Source organism: Homo sapiens, chromosome 5 (genome assembly GCF_000001405.40).
Source record: "Homo sapiens chromosome 5, GRCh38.p14 Primary Assembly".
Lineage (NCBI taxonomy): Eukaryota > Metazoa > Chordata > Mammalia > Primates > Hominidae > Homo > Homo sapiens.
The window spans coordinates 15,730,234-15,748,094 of NC_000005.10; the positions used below are offsets into that span (position 1 = coordinate 15,730,234).

General features: G+C 39.8%; 1 protein-coding gene and 1 long non-coding RNA gene across 6 annotated transcripts in view; one reads left to right on the forward strand and one right to left on the reverse strand.

Moving 5' to 3' along the window:
* The window catches only part of FBXL7 (F-box and leucine rich repeat protein 7), a 439,614-nt gene that overhangs the window by 230,054 nt on the left and 191,699 nt on the right, over positions 1-17,861 (forward strand). The gene's annotated exons all lie outside the window — the stretch shown is intronic.
* The window catches only part of LOC124900946 (uncharacterized), a 35,367-nt gene continuing 21,702 nt past the window's right edge, over positions 4,197-17,861 (reverse strand). Inside the window, exon 2 of the long non-coding RNA XR_007058706.1 lies at positions 4,197-17,817. This is a non-coding gene — a long non-coding RNA (uncharacterized LOC124900946). The remainder of the gene's footprint in view (positions 17,818-17,861) is intronic.

Consider the following 17,861-nt stretch of genomic DNA (forward strand, 5'->3'; position numbering starts at 1 on the left):
AAGTTTCGTGTATTTTTCTCTTGCACAGGTACTGTAAATCTCATAACTGATCATGTTTGCCTATTTTCTTTGGCTACTAGGAAGATTAGAAGAAAATGTGCCGCCCACGTATAATAATTGGATTTCTTAATCATATCTTGGCTTCATATAATTTTCTTACCCTATTTTTCAGAGGCTCTGGTTTCTTGAGTGATTATTCTTCATTCTGTTATATTAAAAAAATTCCTTCAAGGTCCCACAATATCTTACTGAGGTATGGACTAAATATACCAAAAATAAAATAAGTATGATAAAAATTCAAAATATATTGTTTTATTTAAAGACTTAGAATTTCTGTCAATGTGGACTACTGACATTTTCTGTTAAATTAAGAGAAAGGGTTAGATTTGGTTTGGTTTTAGGAATATAGATATAATCATATCATTGTATGAAACCATGCATCCTACTATGAATGTATGTTTTGTTCTATTTTGGAGAAGCTATTTATTTCTAGGGCATATTGCCATGCACAATTAGATATATGATACAAAGGGACAGTTTTCTGCTTCCTGATAACAAAAATTAAAGGTGAATTTCTCCAGATTTATTCCAGGGCTTATAAAATATTGTTATCATGGATGACCTAGTAACAAATGTAACACCCCATAACCTTTAGTGACAATAGAATTCATTACTCTAATGTTCTATTGCCTATAAAACAGAGATTGAAACTCCATGCCTATCATGAAGATGTTAACAGGTGTTTTAAGCTAGATTGCTAAGCTCTCTTATTACTGATGTCTGGGAGCATCCTATTTTTACTGCAACTGGGAGGGCATGATTTTTCTAGGCAGTTTGGACCCCAGAGACATAACCGTCTGAGTACATTCTTGTTAGCAAGAGGGAAAATGGATGATTGGAAAAATAGCATTCAAGTGTTCCAGGGAAGAGGGAGGAAGGATCCTCAAGGGCTGTGTTAGTCTGTTTTCACGCTGCTGATAAAGACATACCCAAGACTGGGCAATTTACAAAGGAAAGAGGTGTAATGGAGAACTCACAGTTCCACGTGGCTAGGGAAGCCTCACAATCATGGTGAAGGCAAGGGGGCATAAGTCACATCTTACATGGATAGCGACAGGCAAAGAGAAAGCTTGTGCAGAGAAACTCCCATTTTTAAAACCATCCGATCTCCTGAGACCCATTCACTATCACAGGAACAGCATGGGAAAGACCGCCCCCCATGATTCAGTCATCTCCCACTGGGGACCTCCCAAAACTCATGGGAATTCTGGGAGCTACAAGATGAGATTTGTGTGGGGACACAGAGCCAAACCATATCAAGGGGAAGAAAAGAAAAAGGGAAATATTGCTTTGGGATGAAAAAAAAATGAATGTGCAGAGGGCAGAGGACACGGATGACTTAGGTAAGTCCATGCAGAGTGTAAGCTTCATGAAAGCCTTTCTTTAATAATCTCTGTGATGTGTGATGTGTCACATAATACATGGATTACCTTTTCATGCCGAGAGTTCTGTTAGTAAATCAAGATGATGAATTTTCTTGATGAATCCCCGAGTGTGCTTAGAGGAGAGAGGTAGAGGAGGCTGTGTTCGGGGCTCTGGATTCCCTCAAAGCAACTGGCAGTTGGCTTTTCCTGGCTGGTTCCTTGGACTACATGGATCCTGAGTGGTGCTGTGAGGTGCCAGAAACAACAAGCATGTCAAGTCTCACTTCAGGACTGAACAAAGTTATCTCTGTCCAGTGCGTATCCAAATGCAGTGAAAAAAATGCATGAACAGATGGAGGAATTCACTTGTTCCATTTTCCTTTGGTGAATCTTAGGAGCTGTTTTGCCCATGATATGTTTGTTTTCCATACTTTTATATGTTTTTCCCCAGACACGGTATAAAATTTAGTATTTAAAGGTTAGTTCTGGCAAAGTTAACCAAATAGCTCTTATGCGAATTCCACAGATGTGCTTATTTATTCATGTGTAGAATGCTTTCTGTCCTCAAATTACTGTTCTTTATAATGAGGCCATGCCAATAATTAACTATTCTTTCACAGCTTAAGGGTCACTCTATTGTTAAAAAAATAAAATAAAACAGGAGAAGCTTGATCCACACAAAAGGAGTATGGTTTATAATTTTTACTATTGGATGCACTGAATAACATGACAGCAATGTTTAACATTTAACATAACAGCTATTTTATTAATTAAAAGATGGCTTTCAGTGTTCTTTTTTTTCCCTCTCTTTTATTTATATTGTCATTTGCTGCATGGAGTTTTATATTTTAGGTAGAATTAAGAAACTCCAGCATGTGGGATGCAGAATGTCTGCATTTATTTATTTGCAGATGCATGTGTGATACCAGTTTAGGAAACTCTATTTTAAAGGTAGGATGGTTTAAAGTCAGAATGATGGTACATAGTTCATATATGTTAAGATTACGATCTATAGAAGCCCCACTTGTCTAAACTGCAATATCCTCCTATTTGGAACTACAACTGATGTTAAAAAGAATTTATTTTCATGGGCAATTTTCTTCTTCAACTTGCTGAAGTCAGATATAGAAAACAAAATGCCATCAAGGGTAATGTTATTGCCCTTGCACTTTAATCTGGAAAGGGCAGAAGAGCTTTGCACCTTCAGGACTTCCTCTTTCTTGAGATAAGTGATGTTAGCTTCACTATTCATTTAGTATTGTATTATATTATACGTTACATATTTATATATTTTATAATATGGTTTATATTCAAAAGAAGTCAAACTATCCAGACATTACAGAAATGGTCACACTCTAACAAGCATGATCGTGAGTACTAAAATAGTATCCAGTGCCTTGGACCAAGCATAAGTATTAAAAATCATGTTTTTTGTTTCTTTCTTTCTTTTTTTCTTGAGACAGAGTCTCACTGTCGCCCAGGCTGAAGTGCAGTGGCGCTATCTCGGCTCACTGCAACCTCCGCCTCTCGGGTTCAATCAATTATCTGCCTCACCCTCCCGAGTAGCTGGGATTACAGGCACCCGCCACCACGCCCGGCTAATTTTTGTATTTTTAGTAGAGACGGGGTTTCACCACCTTGGCCAGGCTGGTCTTGAACTCCTGACCTCATGATCCACCCGCCTCAGCCTCCCAAAGTGCTGGGATTACAGGCGTGAGCCACCGCCCCGGCCAGAAATCATATTTAATGTGAACACAATTACAAGAAGAAAATAGTGTATTATAATAATTGTTTTTCTAAAATGATTGATGGAGTCCAAATAAAATTCATGAATCTGACAAATATTCATTTAGTATGCCATGAATGGAACACTGTACTGGGAAGAGTTAATGCAACAAAAATGACTGAAACATAACTGTCCTAATACAACCTGTAGGCCTATAAAAGGGGCAGAGGCCAGAATTTGGAGTCTGACATAAATATAACGTGATTAAAATGTTTGTTGTGGAGGGTGAATGCAGTGGTAGCGGCAAGCTTCTCCAGGAATTGTCATTTATTTACTAAACTAAAAGAAACAAGCTTTGTGATAAATTGCAGGTTAATGTTTTGTAAATATTTATTTTTTAATTTTAACAATAGTTTTATTTTCCTATAAAATAGCTTGTTAATGGCCGGGTGCAGTGGCTCAGGCCTATAATCCCAGCACGTTGGGAGGCCGAGGCAGGCGGTTCACAAGGTCAGGAGTTCAAGACCAGCCTGGCCAACATGGTGAAACCCCGTCTCTACTAAAAATACAAAAATTACCTGGGCTTGGTGGCATGTGCCTGTAATCGCAGCTACTCAGGAGACTGGGGCAGGAGAATCTCTTGAACCCGGGACCCGGGAGATGGAGGGTTGCAGTGCACCAAGATTGTGCCACTGCACCCCAGCCTGGGCTATAGAGGAAGACTGGGTCTCAAAAAAAAAAAAAAAAAAAAGCTTGTTAATGCCTTTGCTGCCGCCCAGTCCCTGACCTTGCTGTCCCCAGCTGCGCTGAGCACACAGCTTTCCACAGATCCTGCTGCACAGGCCTCTTCCTCATTCCCTCCAAAGCCATGCTGCCTCACCGTGGCGCTGTCCAAATGCTTCTGATGCTGTACGCCGTCTCTTCTCTATGGGACCTCAGTGAGGCACATACTGCTCCTCTGGGGCTGGCGATCACAAGTCATGGGTTTAATCCCTGCTCTAAATGTTACTAGCTGATTAGACTTTGGGCAAGACATTTAATTTCTCTGATCTGTGCCCTCTTCTGAACAATGTGGATTATTGTAAGACATATAGGAGTGGTTGTTGTAAGTATCAAGTGGGGTAACAAATGGGAAAGATTCTCCCAAGGCCTGTCTCAGGCAAACCATCAGTTATGTCCATTAACCCTTCCCTCTCTCTTTTTCTGCCTCCCTCCTCTTCCATCCTTCCTTCCTTTCTCTGTTTCTTGCTTGCCTTTTTCTTTAAAATTCTTTAATCTCCTCTTTCTCTTTTCTGTGATATAATAATCACAAAAGAAGGACTTATGATACATATGTTCAGGTAGTTCAGAAAAGGAAAGAGCGTTTCACAATTGAAAGCATGAGAGAAGTATTCAAGGAGCACTCATGTAGGTCTTGAAGTGAAAGTAGACCTTACATATATAGAAAAGAGAGAAAGCATGTCCAGATGGGTGGATGTAAAGTTAGCGCCATCATGGAGGGCCTTGCCTCCTTTGTACTCTATTAGACAACATGGAGGCTCTGAAGTTTATTTATTTATTTTTTTGAGACAGAGTTTTGCTCTTGTTGCCCCCGCTGGAGTACAAGGGCATGATCTTGGCTCACTGCAACCTCCGTCTCCTGGGTTCAAGCGATTCTCCTGCCTCAGCCTCACAATTAGGTGGGATTACAGGCACGTGCCACCATGCCCGGCTAATTTTTTGTATTTTTAGTAGAAACAGAGTTTCACCATGTTAGCCAGGCTGGTCTTGAACTCCTGACCTCAGGTGATCCGCCTGCCTTGGCCTCCCAAAGTGCTGGGAGTATAGGCATGAGCCGCTGTGAAGTTTATTTTTTAAAATCATTTCTAGGTATTCTATAAAGGATTGCTTCTGAAAACAGAGTTCATGATTAATAGACTAGGTAGAGAAGAGAAGTGGAGAGACCATTTCAGAGGATGTGAATCAAAGTAATAACAAATGAAATGGAAAGGGCTGTTGAGGAATGAATTGCAGTGTCACTGGGACTTCCAGCCAATTGCTTCTAGGTGTGTAAGCAGTGATGATGGGGATGCTAAGCTTAGTCATTGGAAGGACACAGGTGCCATGATCATGGAGAGGAAACATCAACTGAAATATTTTTGACTAGAAAGGTAATGAACAATTACATGTTTGAGATTTCAGCTGGAAATTTGGGAAAATGTGTTTAGAAAGTGATGGGAAGTACAAGCCTTGATTTCCACAGCTATTTAAAACCCACTTCCAGGGATTTTAGAATAGAGGTTAAATGTAAGAAGTAGACACATTCAAGGATAATGAATGTCCGGAGAGAAGGGCTTAGAGCAGATGACCTGAGGGAAGTGAGATTTATTTTGTGAATGGTGAATGATGATCCAGAGAAAACATCATCGGAAGCTGAACTGCTTACAAGGTTGGGATAGTGTTGAGAGAAGAGAGCACTGGGGTATTTTGAATAGTGTGGTGCACTGAGTTTGAGGAAGATGGAGGATTAAAGGCTGTTGGGTTTATCAACTTAGAGGTCACTGGAGACTTTTGGAAAACAGTTTTACAGGGTGATATTTGTTAAAGCGAGAGCAGGACGAATAGTGTTTCATAGTAAGCCATGGAATTGGATTTGATGGTTTTAAATCAAGGCTTGTTTTCCACTAGTTGCTTCAGATGTAAGATTTAGTGTCTTTCTGGGTGTTTCATGTAAAGAAAAGATAATTTATGTGAACTTTTGTATTTTTAAATGAATATTCAATGCATTTAAGTTGCAAATTTCAGAACCCTTTTTCTTGAGCTCTAAAGCTTAACTCCAATTTATTCTATTTATAAATGTGATATAGTGTAGCAACCACTTTCAAAAGGACCTTTACAACTTAGTTAATTAAATTCCATTAAATATTTAAACAGCAATCATAAATTTAACATATTCATTTCTGTTTTGAAGCTTTTCAATACTCCAGCAACTTAGATGGCCCCAAGTTCTAGAGAAATCTACATAAATATAATAAGTTGAATATGCAAGTATGGTGGCCCTTAAGTTCTCATAAATATTACAATATTGTTTATACAACAGTAGATTTTTCTTATAAGTTTCAAATTAAAATAACAAATCCACATAAATCACCCAATCTTAAATGTGATAAATACGTAAAATAGCAACTATACACAAATTATTTCTAAGTGCAAAAGTATTAAAGCACTGGGCTTGTTGTTGCTACTTCATCTTTGTCCCTTTTTCTCCATTTGGCTGATTTTAAGAAAATTTATACTCTAGGAAAACAATTCTACCAGTCAGGGTCTGGTTTCCTCAGCTACCATTCCTTTTGTCTTCCTCCAATTTAAAAGCTGAAAAGTAAGACATTCAAATTCTCAGCCTGTCTTGCAGCAGGAGGAGGCCACTTGATACGCTGCTGTCTGATGGGATATAGACAGGAGTTCCTGTGTATTTTAAGTTGCAGATAATAGGGAACCAGATATCCACTCATGACTACTGAGAGTTGGACCTAGAATTATCATAATATCTGACGCTTCTATAACCCTCACTGTATTCCAGAAACCATCTTCTGTGCCTTCTATGGGCTAACTATAACACCTATAACAACTCATGAGGTAGATGCAGTTATCCTTCCATTTCATCACTGAGGAAATGGTAGCACAGAGAGGTCAGTTACTTGCCCAGAGTCACACAGCCAGTAAATGACAGCATTTAAGATTTGAGCCCCAGCCCCCTCATTCCAGAATCCTCTTAATCTCTTCCCTATAGTCACCTCTCCCTGATCTCCATTTTTCCACTGGGCGTCCGAAGCTCTTTGTCTTATCTATTCTGCACTGTTTATGACATACTGTTACAGCTAATGGTTTCCATGTGTGCCTCCCCTGTTCCACTAAGTGGTCCTTGAAAGCGTGCAGCATGGCTCTTTATATCTCCAGTCACAGCCACAGTCTCCCTACAGATGTTCAACAAGTATTTTCATGAACAAGTGACTTCAGATCTATAAAATTACAAATGCCATAGATAGACTTACTTCAAAAACTCAACCGACCAAACCAAATAATTATTTGAAATTAAAAAGAAGTAAACCGGTAGAATAGTGACTATTTTACTCCATAAAGAGTGTCACTTTGCATGATCTGAGGACTTGGGAATGTTGGAAGGGCATTGCTTCAGGAGATGTTTCAGGCTAAGAGAAAGATCTTTTTAAAATGTATTTTGTTAATTGCACAATAAGGTGGAAGGAAACCAGGATGCTTGAGAAATACCCTGCGCTTCATGGTAATCGTGGAGATGTGGCCACACTGTTCAGTAATACATTTTTATCACTTTGTCTGTATACATTAGAGCAGAGTTCGAGAGGACAAGTGCCCTAGTTCTCAATTCCTTTTATACTTAGGACTTTGACCATAAAGAAACCTAACATTGCAAAGATTGACAGAAATATTCTCTACTTCCTGTAATTACCAAAGCATCCTGGTACCCATCAGTTCTGGACTTCTGTGTTACCATCTTTGCTCATTCTGACATCATGGGACCCCAGAGAGCTGCTCTGATTGCTTTTTGTATGTAAAAGCAAGTTTCCCTTTTTGTAAAATCAGGAGGCTGAAAATGAGCATCAACATATGTGCCTGAATGACTTGCCTGTTGGAAATCTGCTCCCAGGACTGGTGCCAATGAAATATTCCAAACACTTGTTTGGGAGGCACCGTAGAACACATTCTACGAGGGAGGAGGCATAGTATGATAATTAACACCGACTCTACAGAGTCACATGGCCTGGATGAAGTCTGGCTCCGTTTAAGTTGTATGACTTTATTTAAATCATGGCTTTCTGAGTTTTGCTTTCCTTACATGTGAAATTAGGGTAATATGAGAAGTGCTTATGATGAGAAGTAAAATAATATAATAAAGAAAGTGCTTTATGAGCAACACAGTGCTATCCAAATATTTGTAACTATTTTCCAAAAAATATATAATTAGGAACCTATCATACCTAATTGTAAGCCCTGATGTTTCAGTGGGTGGTTTCCCAGAGGTTGTGATGTGGTATGTTAGCTTTACTGGAAGACCTTAGCATACAGGCAGTTTCCCTTCTTGTTATCTACTGGAGGGTGGGAACAACATGTTGGCTCTCCCCTTCACATGCCTCAGGATGTTTATTTAAAGGAAAACAGCTCTCTTGGTCAAGAAAATCCCCCCTTTTCACTCTCTTCCTTGAATTTTGTAATAAGACCTGCTTACTTTCTCTAAAAGAGCAAAGCGAACACCCATGGCATCATATCTGTGTGGTACCATCTTAGGGAGGAAGCTGAGGAGTCCCCTACAGATCTGCTAGAAAAGGAGACCTTATGTTGCACCTTTGCATCTTTCTCCATAAATGGCAGTGTCGTTATTCAAGACTTTGGCAAATGTCTGAATCAAACATTCTGTAGGGAAAGAAGACAACTAACAATGCTCTGTTCAGATCTATGATTTTCCTTGAGGAAAACCAAAGTGTGAGTGGTGCCTGGGCACCCATGCGGAGCTGATGCCTGTCCACAGACATCTGAAAGCAACACCACATTGTCACCAGCACTGAGGAGATGATCCACAGAAAAGGAGTGTCCCTTAACACATTGAAAGTACACGTTCATTTCATGATATGAGGTGTCCATTTGGTTTGAGCGAAGTGATCATTATGTAACATTGGTTTCTCTCATCTGGGCAGATGCATCCCTATACCAGCTGCCTGCAAGTCCTTCCACAGCCATCCAGCATCTTGGCATCCACTTCAGCTTCCTCTGAGGGTTCTTCCCCGCATCTCCAGCTGGGCCTGAGGGACAGGATTTCAGACTCCTTGCTGCTGACTTTTAGCCACCTGCAGCCCTTGATTCTGCCTCTTGCCCTTCAGATGCCTCTTGCCCTTCACGTTCCACCCACCTCCTTTCCAGCTGTAACTCAACATTTGTCACCTCAACCAGATATTAAGCTATTTAAAAGGTATTTTCCTACAACAGCCTTATGGAGCTGAAATTCACATACCGTAGATTTCACCCATTTAAGTGTACAGTTCAGTGGGTTTTAGTGTATTCACAGAATTGTACAACCGTCACCACAATCTAATTTTAGAACTTTTTTTTATCACAACAAGAAATCTCACACCCATTAGTATTTATTCCTTATTTGTCCCTATCCCCCTAGCCTTAGGCAACCTATAATCTCTTTTTTTGTCTCTGTAGATTTGCCTATTCTGGACATTTGCTGTAAAAGGAATCATGGAATATATGATTTGTTGTGAATGGGTTTCTTTACAAGGTTCATTTATGTTGCAGCATGTATCAATACTTAATATCTTTATTGTTATAGAATATTCCATTTATAAATTTACAATGTATTATTTACCCATTAATCAGTTGGTAGACATTTGGATTGCTTTCATTTTTTGGCTTTAATGAGTATTACTGCTACGAACATTTGTGTACAAGTTTTTGTGTGCACCTATGTTTTCATTTCTCTTAGGTATATACCTAGGAGTGGAATATACCTAGGAGTGCTGGGTTGTGTGATAACTCTTATATTTGTCTTTTTGAGGAACTGCCCGACTATTCACCACAAAGGCTGCTCAATTTTATATTCCTTTCTGCATTGTGTAAGAGTTCCAATTTCTCTACATCGTCACCAACACTTTTTATTATCTTTTTGATGATAGCCATCTTAGTGGGTGTAAAGTGGTATCTCACTGTGGTTTCTAAGCCCCCTTTTTAAGTCCAAAGTATGGGAAGAATACCCCATAACTGCTTTCTTAGGTCATGGAGATGAGGCACTGACAGCAAAGCTCTCTCCAAAGAAAATGTATGTGAAGATCATTCTCTTAACTTCTAGCCTATGGAACCTTCCATTTCTGAGATGGCAAGGAATTTAGGACTCATTACCCTTGGTTTCCCCCACTTCCTTTCCTGCAAGTTATGGATGGTGGGGTCTGCCCTTTCACTTTGACATACCTGGCCTAGAGTCTTCACGCTTCAGCTGAAATGTCCATTTAACATCATGTTACAAATGAACTATCTTTAAAAAAACAGATCTTCCATTTATAATATATCCACTGCTCCCCCATTCAGGCACAGAGCTCTTTAGATTTCATTTGAAGTGTTTTCCTCTTTAAAATTAACTACATTTGATGCAACTGGCTCCTTTGAAGGAAAAAAAACACAGACTGTTGCACATAGTCATGAATCACAAATGAGGGTGTTTATATATTCAATGAGAAATTATTTTTGCTGGCAAATGGTTGTGTTTTTTTCCAGTCCCCTTAAATCCTTACCTTTTTTAAAAAATGGATTTGAGCTGGCTAACCAAAATACATATGATACAACAGAATAAAACCAATAGAGAAGAAATCAGGCAAAGGGAAAGAAAGGATAGAAAAATGAAAACACAACTAAGGAATAAGTAACATTTGCAAATGCTAGACATAGGCACAGTTGTCAGAGGTGGTCACAGATGTATCCAAATTCCCTAATTGTTTAAACAAAGAGAAGAACACAATCAATTTCACAATTTTACATATTTATATGACATAAAGAATGTAGTTGCTTAGGACAACCATACATTTTCCTAAGAGAAATAAAGTCTCCTGTGTTCTTATAGTAAGCATATTGTGGACTGAAACACAATATGCTCAGATAAATAACTCTTAGCCTGATCCTCTCTCTTTGAATATTTCTCAATGCAAACAGGTGGCACAAGGCTAAAGGTGATTTTATTAAAATTCATTATAGAAAATCTTTATATAGAAATATGTTAATGATAATCTTGCTTTGGACTGTCTAATCTTGTGTATTTTATGACATTGTACTTACGACATTGCATATTTTCACAATAGTCTTCACAGTCACATAGACACACTTTAAGTTTGTTGATAAATATTTCTAATTTTAGTAACAGTTTTACCTTATATGAAACATGAGATCTACTTCCGTTGGTGATTTACCCATTGGATACATGTGAGCGTTTGTGTATATTCTTGCAACTTCCCTTCTAAGATAGTTCACATATGAATTGTCAACTTAAAAAATGAATTTTTTTTACCAAAAGTTGTGGATTGATGGTCAGGATAAAATTATATACATGGGAGGCCATTCTTTGACCTTCTCTACATCTTATAGGAGATTGAAAGATTCTTCCTTGCTTATTGTTTTTCTTCTTTTCCCCAAAAATGCTGCTCTTGGGTATAAAAAAAGAGTTAAAAATTACAAATCTTTAAACCACATCTGGTTTGTGTGTTCTCAGAGGCCACTTGCTGGAAAAGCAAGGCGTGAGGCAAAAAAGGAAGGAAAATATCGTATAGTCCAGTTAACCCGTTTTATAAGGAAAATGAAACTATTCTTAGGAGTTATAGCACCATTTAAAAATGTAGAAAGAAGTACAGGAAAAGAACAACTTTTTTTTTTCCTCCGAAGAAACCAGCAGCCCATAGAATTAGCTCACAAATAGAAATCAGATCACATGAATGCACAGGAATGCCATGGTCAGGCCAGGAGACAGTTATACCATGTCCCTGGCCTCGGGTGGTTACTGTTAGATTGGAGTAAAAATCAGAGGTAATGGTTTTACTGAGGCAGAATGAGCTATGTGTTGGTGCCAATTCACTGTCGGGGAAGTAGACGAATAAATTATTAAATGCGCATATGTGTTACTGAGGTGTATTTCTGCTTAATGGACACTTTTGGCTGTTTTTAGAGATGTTTTTATCCAAAACTACTTAATAAGGGGAGATTTATATATAAATACTCCCTGGTGAGAAATACAAATAGTTTGGTCTTTAATAAATCAAAATCTGAAAAGCACTTCCTAAGTCCTCCCTCTGTGTGGTGGGGGAGAATAATATATCCTAATTTTGAAGCAGTTCAGACATTTTAAAATATAGAGTCTGGGGAAGGAGCAAACACATCTCTAACAAGGAGGATGCAAAAGCTCCTTAAGCCAATTAATTAGGGAATTTGACTGATGAAATAGTTTCACTGCTTTCAGAAACAGGTGTTTGGAAAGGCAGCTGAAGAACGAATCTTATGTCCACTTCGCTGATGGCTATATCATTTCCTCCCTACCCCCAGAACAGTGTAGGCATGTGGTAGGCATTCAGTAAACCTGTAAAAGCAATGAGCGAGCAAGGCTAAAGATGCTGTCTAGAATTGCTGTAGGTGACCTATGCTGATGAACAGGTAGGACTACATTGTAATTTGCATTGAACATATTTGTTGGTTAATGGCTTCTTCCCTGGTATTTGAGAGTTGGCTTTCCTAAACATTTTAAAGCAATTCCTTTCAATCTTATATATGCTATTATATTGAATTTTCCATAAAGTTTTGTATTAGTCCATTCCCACACTGCTAATAAAGACATACTCGAGACTGAGTAATTTATAAAGGAAAGAGGTCTAATTGACTCACAGTTTAGCATGGCTGGAGTGGCCTCAGGATACTTACAATCATGGCAAAAGGGAAAGTAAACACATCCTTCTTCACATGGCGGCAGCAAGGAGAAGTACAGAGTGAAGCGAGGGAAAAACCCCTTACAAAACCATCAGATCTCATGAGAACACACTCACATGGAACACCATGGAAGTAATCGCCACCATGATTCAGTTACCTCCCACTGGGTTCCTCCCATGACATGCAGGGATTATGGGAGCTACGATTCAAGATGAGATTTGGGTGAAGACACAGCCAAACCATATCATCTCACTCCTGGCCCCTCCCAAAACTCATGTCATCACACACTTAAAGACACAATTATGCCTTCCCAACAGTCCCCCAAAGTCTTAACTCATTCCAGTATTAACTCAAAAGTCCAAGTCCAAAGTCCCATCTGAGACAAGGCAAGTACCTTCTGCCCATGAGCCTGTAAAATCAAAAGCAAGTTAGTTACTTCCTAGATACAATAGGGGTGCAGGCATTGGGTAAACACACCTGTTCCAAATGAGAGAAAATGGCTAAAACAAAGGGGCTACAGGCCTCATGCAAGTCTGAAATCCAAGTTGGTCAGTAAAAATGTTAAAGCTCCAAAATAATCTCCTTTGACTCCATGTCTCATATCCAGGGTGTGCTGATGCAAGAGGTGGCTCCCACCATCTTGCACAGCTCTGCCCCTGTGGCTTTGCAGGGTACAGCACCCCCTCCCAGCTGCTTTCACAGCTGGCATTGAGTGTCTGCAGCTTTTGCAGGAGCACAGTGCAAGCTGTTCGTGGATATACCATTCTGGGGTCTGGAGGATGGTGACCCTTTTCTCACAGTTCCATTAAGCAGTGCCTCAGTGGGGACATTTTGTTGGTGGTCCAATCCCACATTTCCCTTCTGCACTGCCCTAGCAGTGGTTTTCCGTGAGGGACCCACCTCTGCAGCAGACTTCTACCTGGACATCGGGTGTTTTCATACATCCTTTGAAATCTAGGCAGAAGTTCCCAGACTTCAGTTCTTGACTTCTGTGGACCCACAGGCCCAGCACCACGTGTAATCCACCAAGGCTTGGGGCTTTCAGCCTCTGAAGCAATGGCCTGAGCTCTACATTGGCTTCTTTTAGCCACGGCTGAAGTTGAAGCAGCTGGGACATAAGGCACCAAGTCCCAAGGCTGCACACATCAGGGGTCTCTGAACCCAACCCAAGAAACCATTTCTGCCTCCTAGGCCTCCAGGCCTGTGAAGGGAGGGGCTGCTGTGAAGACCTCTGACATGTCCTGGAGACATTTGCCCATTGTCTTGGTGATTAACATTTGGCTCCTTGTTACTCATGCAAATTTCTGAAGCCAGCTTAAATTTCTCCCTGGAAAATAGGTTTTTATTTTCTATCACATCATCAGGCTGCAAATTTTCCAAACTTTTGTGCTCTGCTTCTTCTTGAACACGTTGCCACTTAGAAATTTCTTCTGCCAGGTACCCTAAATCATCTGTCTCAAGTTCAAAGTTCCACAGATCTCTGGAGCAGGGACAAAATGCCACCAGTCTCTTTGCATAGCAAGAGTGAACTTTACTCCAGTTCCCAACAAGTTTCCCATCTCCATCTGAGATCACCTCAGGCTGGACTTCATTGTCCATATTACTATCAGCATTTTGTTCAAGACCATTCAACAAGTCTCTAGGAAGTTTCAAACTTTCCCACATCTTCCTGTCTTCAGAGCCCTCCAAGTCTCTAGGAAGTTCCAAACTTTCTCACACTTTCCTGTCTTCTTCTGAGCCCTCCAAATGGTTCTAAGCTCTGCCTGTTACCCAGTTCCAAAGTCGCTTCCACATTTTTGGGTATCTTTATAGCAGCACCCCACTCTCTGTTGTAGCAATTTAGTGTATTAATCCATTCTCACACTACTAATAAAGACATACCCAAGACTGAGTGCTTTACAAAGAAAATAATTGACTCATAGTTTTGCATGGCTGGGGAGGCCTCAGGAAACTTACAATCATGTCAGAAAGGGATGCAAACATGCCCTTCTTCACGTGTCAGCAGAAAGGAGAAGTGCTGAGCAAAAAGGGGAAAGCCCCTTATAAAACCATGAGGTCTCCTGAGAACTCACTCACTATCACGAGAACAACATGAGGGTAACTGCCCCCATGATTCAATTACCTCCCACCAGGTCTCTCAGGAAACACTGGGATTATGGAAACTACAATTTAAGATGAGATTTTGGTGGGGACATAGCCAAACTATATCAAGTTTGCTGAAAAAAACCTCAAATGATTATCACAAAATAAGAATAGAGATGAGTTTTGAATTAATGCATTTCTCCATAGTTAACTTTTTTCAATTTAAACATTTAGTTATAAATAAATATTTAATTATTTGGAAACTGTGACTATGAAAGTGTATTATTTCTCAAAAAAAAGGAATAAAATGAATGAATGAGTGATAATCCTAGGTAGCAAAACCCTAGTGTAAGCTAATGCACTATTTTTACTCTTTGTATTCATGAACATGCTTGAAATAAAGCAATTTATTTAAGCACTTGTTTTGGATCTCTTCTCTGTTAGGCATTCTCTAGATGTGAGAAAATCAGATAACAGGTTAAAATTCATGCTCTCATGGACTTTATATTTTAGGGAGAGGAGAGGCAATAAACAAATTTTAAAATAATGAAATTATATTATGGTGTTAATTAGTTACAGTGGACTGAAGTGAAAAAAAGTAGAATGATTAAGGAGGTGACTCAGGGTAGCAGTGCTGCATGAAAAAGTTTCTCAGGGAAACAAGGGAGTAAAGTCTGCATATGTCTAGGAAAAAAACATTTCAGGCAGAAGGAAGCAAAATTCAAAAGCGCCTAATACAGGAGTGTGCTTAGGGTGTTTACAAAACAAGAGGAGGACCCTACATTTGGAGCAGCATGAGCCAGTAAGGGTGAGCACAGTGGGGTCAGGATGATGGGGGAAGTTATGTAGGGTCTCACAGTAGCACTCCATCTCTGCACTGTGTTCTGTATGATGGAATCCATTGGAGAGTTTAAAGCAGAGAGAACTTGATCAGGTTTCTACTTTTAAAAAACCCAAATGTGGCTGCTGTGGAAGAGAGACTCTCATGGTCAAGCTTAGCAGCAGGGAGAAATAGCAGAAGGCCCTTTCCTCTTTCCAAATGAGAGAGGATGGATAGTCATTTGAACTGGAATCTTGGTGGTGAGAGGGTGAGAAGTGGTTCGGTCTGTGATCTCTGTTAGAGCCAGAGCCTTCAGAAATTACTGCTGCACTGGGTGTAGAGTGTGGTAGAATGATACTAGTCAAGAGTGAATCCTAAGTGCTTAGCCTGAAAAGTTGGGTGAATACTATTTAATGACTCAAGGAAAATTAGAGAGGAGGAAGATTCAGGAGCATAAAAGCAAGACTACTTCTAGACATGTTACCTGTTACCCTTGAGATGCTTTTAAGACATCCAAGGGGAGCGGTAGAGTCGGCAGTTGGATATTTGAGCCTGGAACACAAAGGGGATGTTGAAGCTGGTGATACAAAGTTGGATGCTGGCTATATATAGATGATGTTTGATGACAGAATACCATAGACTGGGTGGGTTATACACTATGGAAATGTATTTCTCACAGTTCTGGAGGCTGAGAAGTCCAAGATCAAGGCCCTGGCAGATTTAGTGTCTGGTGAGGGCCCATTTCCTCATAGACAGTTCTGTTCTCATTGTGTCCTCACATGGCAGGAGTGAGGGATTTCTCTGTGGTCGCTAATCTCATTCATGAAGGCTCCACACTTATGACCTAATCACCTCCCAAGGGTCCCACTGCCTAAAGCCATTGCATTGGAGATCAGGTCTCAACGTACAAATTTGCAGGGAACATAAACATTCGGTTTCTGGCAGTATTTAAAGTTATGGACTAGATAAGACCATCTAAGACAGTGCTTTTCAAAATATGTCTAGTGAATGGCCTTTGTTTTTTCTAATTTGCTGTAGACTGATGCTTTTAAATACAATAAAAATAAATCTAAGGGAAAACAAAATTTAAGGAAAACTGAAATAAATACATACTAAATACGAGTGCCACTTTTTTTTTTGCTAATAGAGTTAATAGACATAAAATTATTCTGTCAAATTGCTGTAAAAGTTTCTTAACACTCACTCTGGCTTCCTGTACTTATCTTGCTATGGACTGAGAACAAACAATTCACAGAGAGTGCTTGTTCATGGATCATGCTGTTAGTCACACCAACCTGGGAATGAGTGTGGAGGGAAAAGGGACCCTGAGCCACAACTTTGCCCTCAGAAAGATGAGAAGGGAGGTGGGAATTCAGCAGACTGTGGTTCCTAGAATCCAGATGAAGATGTTTCAAGAAAAACGAGGCAATTACATAGTATATGCAAAATAGATCCCCAGGCATTAACTGTAATAATGAAATACCAGAGTGAATGGAAAGATGTTATTTTGCTTTTACACGTTCCTTCCCCAAGCTTTCATGGTGGTACGGCTCTACCAATCTTAAGCTTTGTTTATGCATGGCCTATTCTAAGATCATCTGGGGACAAACCTGAATGAGGAGGTCTCCCAAAAGAGCAACAGGATTGCCAAAGTAAAAGTTGCATCAGGGTCCAACCTAAAAGTACTAGCCAAGTGTCTCAACTCTTAGATTGGATGCTGTAGGGGGTCAACCTGGCCATTAAAGTCATTACCACACCAACCATTTCTGTGTATTAGGGTTATCCTTCTTTATTTTCAGCAGTAGCTATTATTTCAGCCAACACCTATCCAAACCATGCCAACAATATAGGAATATACTTGATTCTCAGCAAAGGTGATTTCTTCGGACAAAGGAAAAAATATCTATGCACAATGGTTAGTTGGTTCAAATGCACACATACGGACCCAACATAAGATGACTGCCTGATGTAGAGCCATAAGGGAATCGTGGGATCCAGGTTTTCCATCTGTAACTCATCCTCCCACTTATAAATATTACCCCATCTTTCTTACTTAGGCTGCTGCTTGTCTCTGCTCATCCCTCCACCTCTGTTCCCCACCTGGGGGCAGCTGAACTTGGACTATTGCCCAGCTAGATGTTAGGATGAAGGCCCATTCTAATACTTTGCTGGTAATTCTTTTTAATTATCCACAAATGTCTAAACATTTTCTGGCCCTTACCCAGTCCCAATCTGGCAGCTTTACCTATTCCAGTGGTTCTCAATCAGGAGTGATTTTGCTCCCCAGGGAACACCTGGAAAAGTCTAGAGGAATTCTGATATAACTGGAGTGATTTTG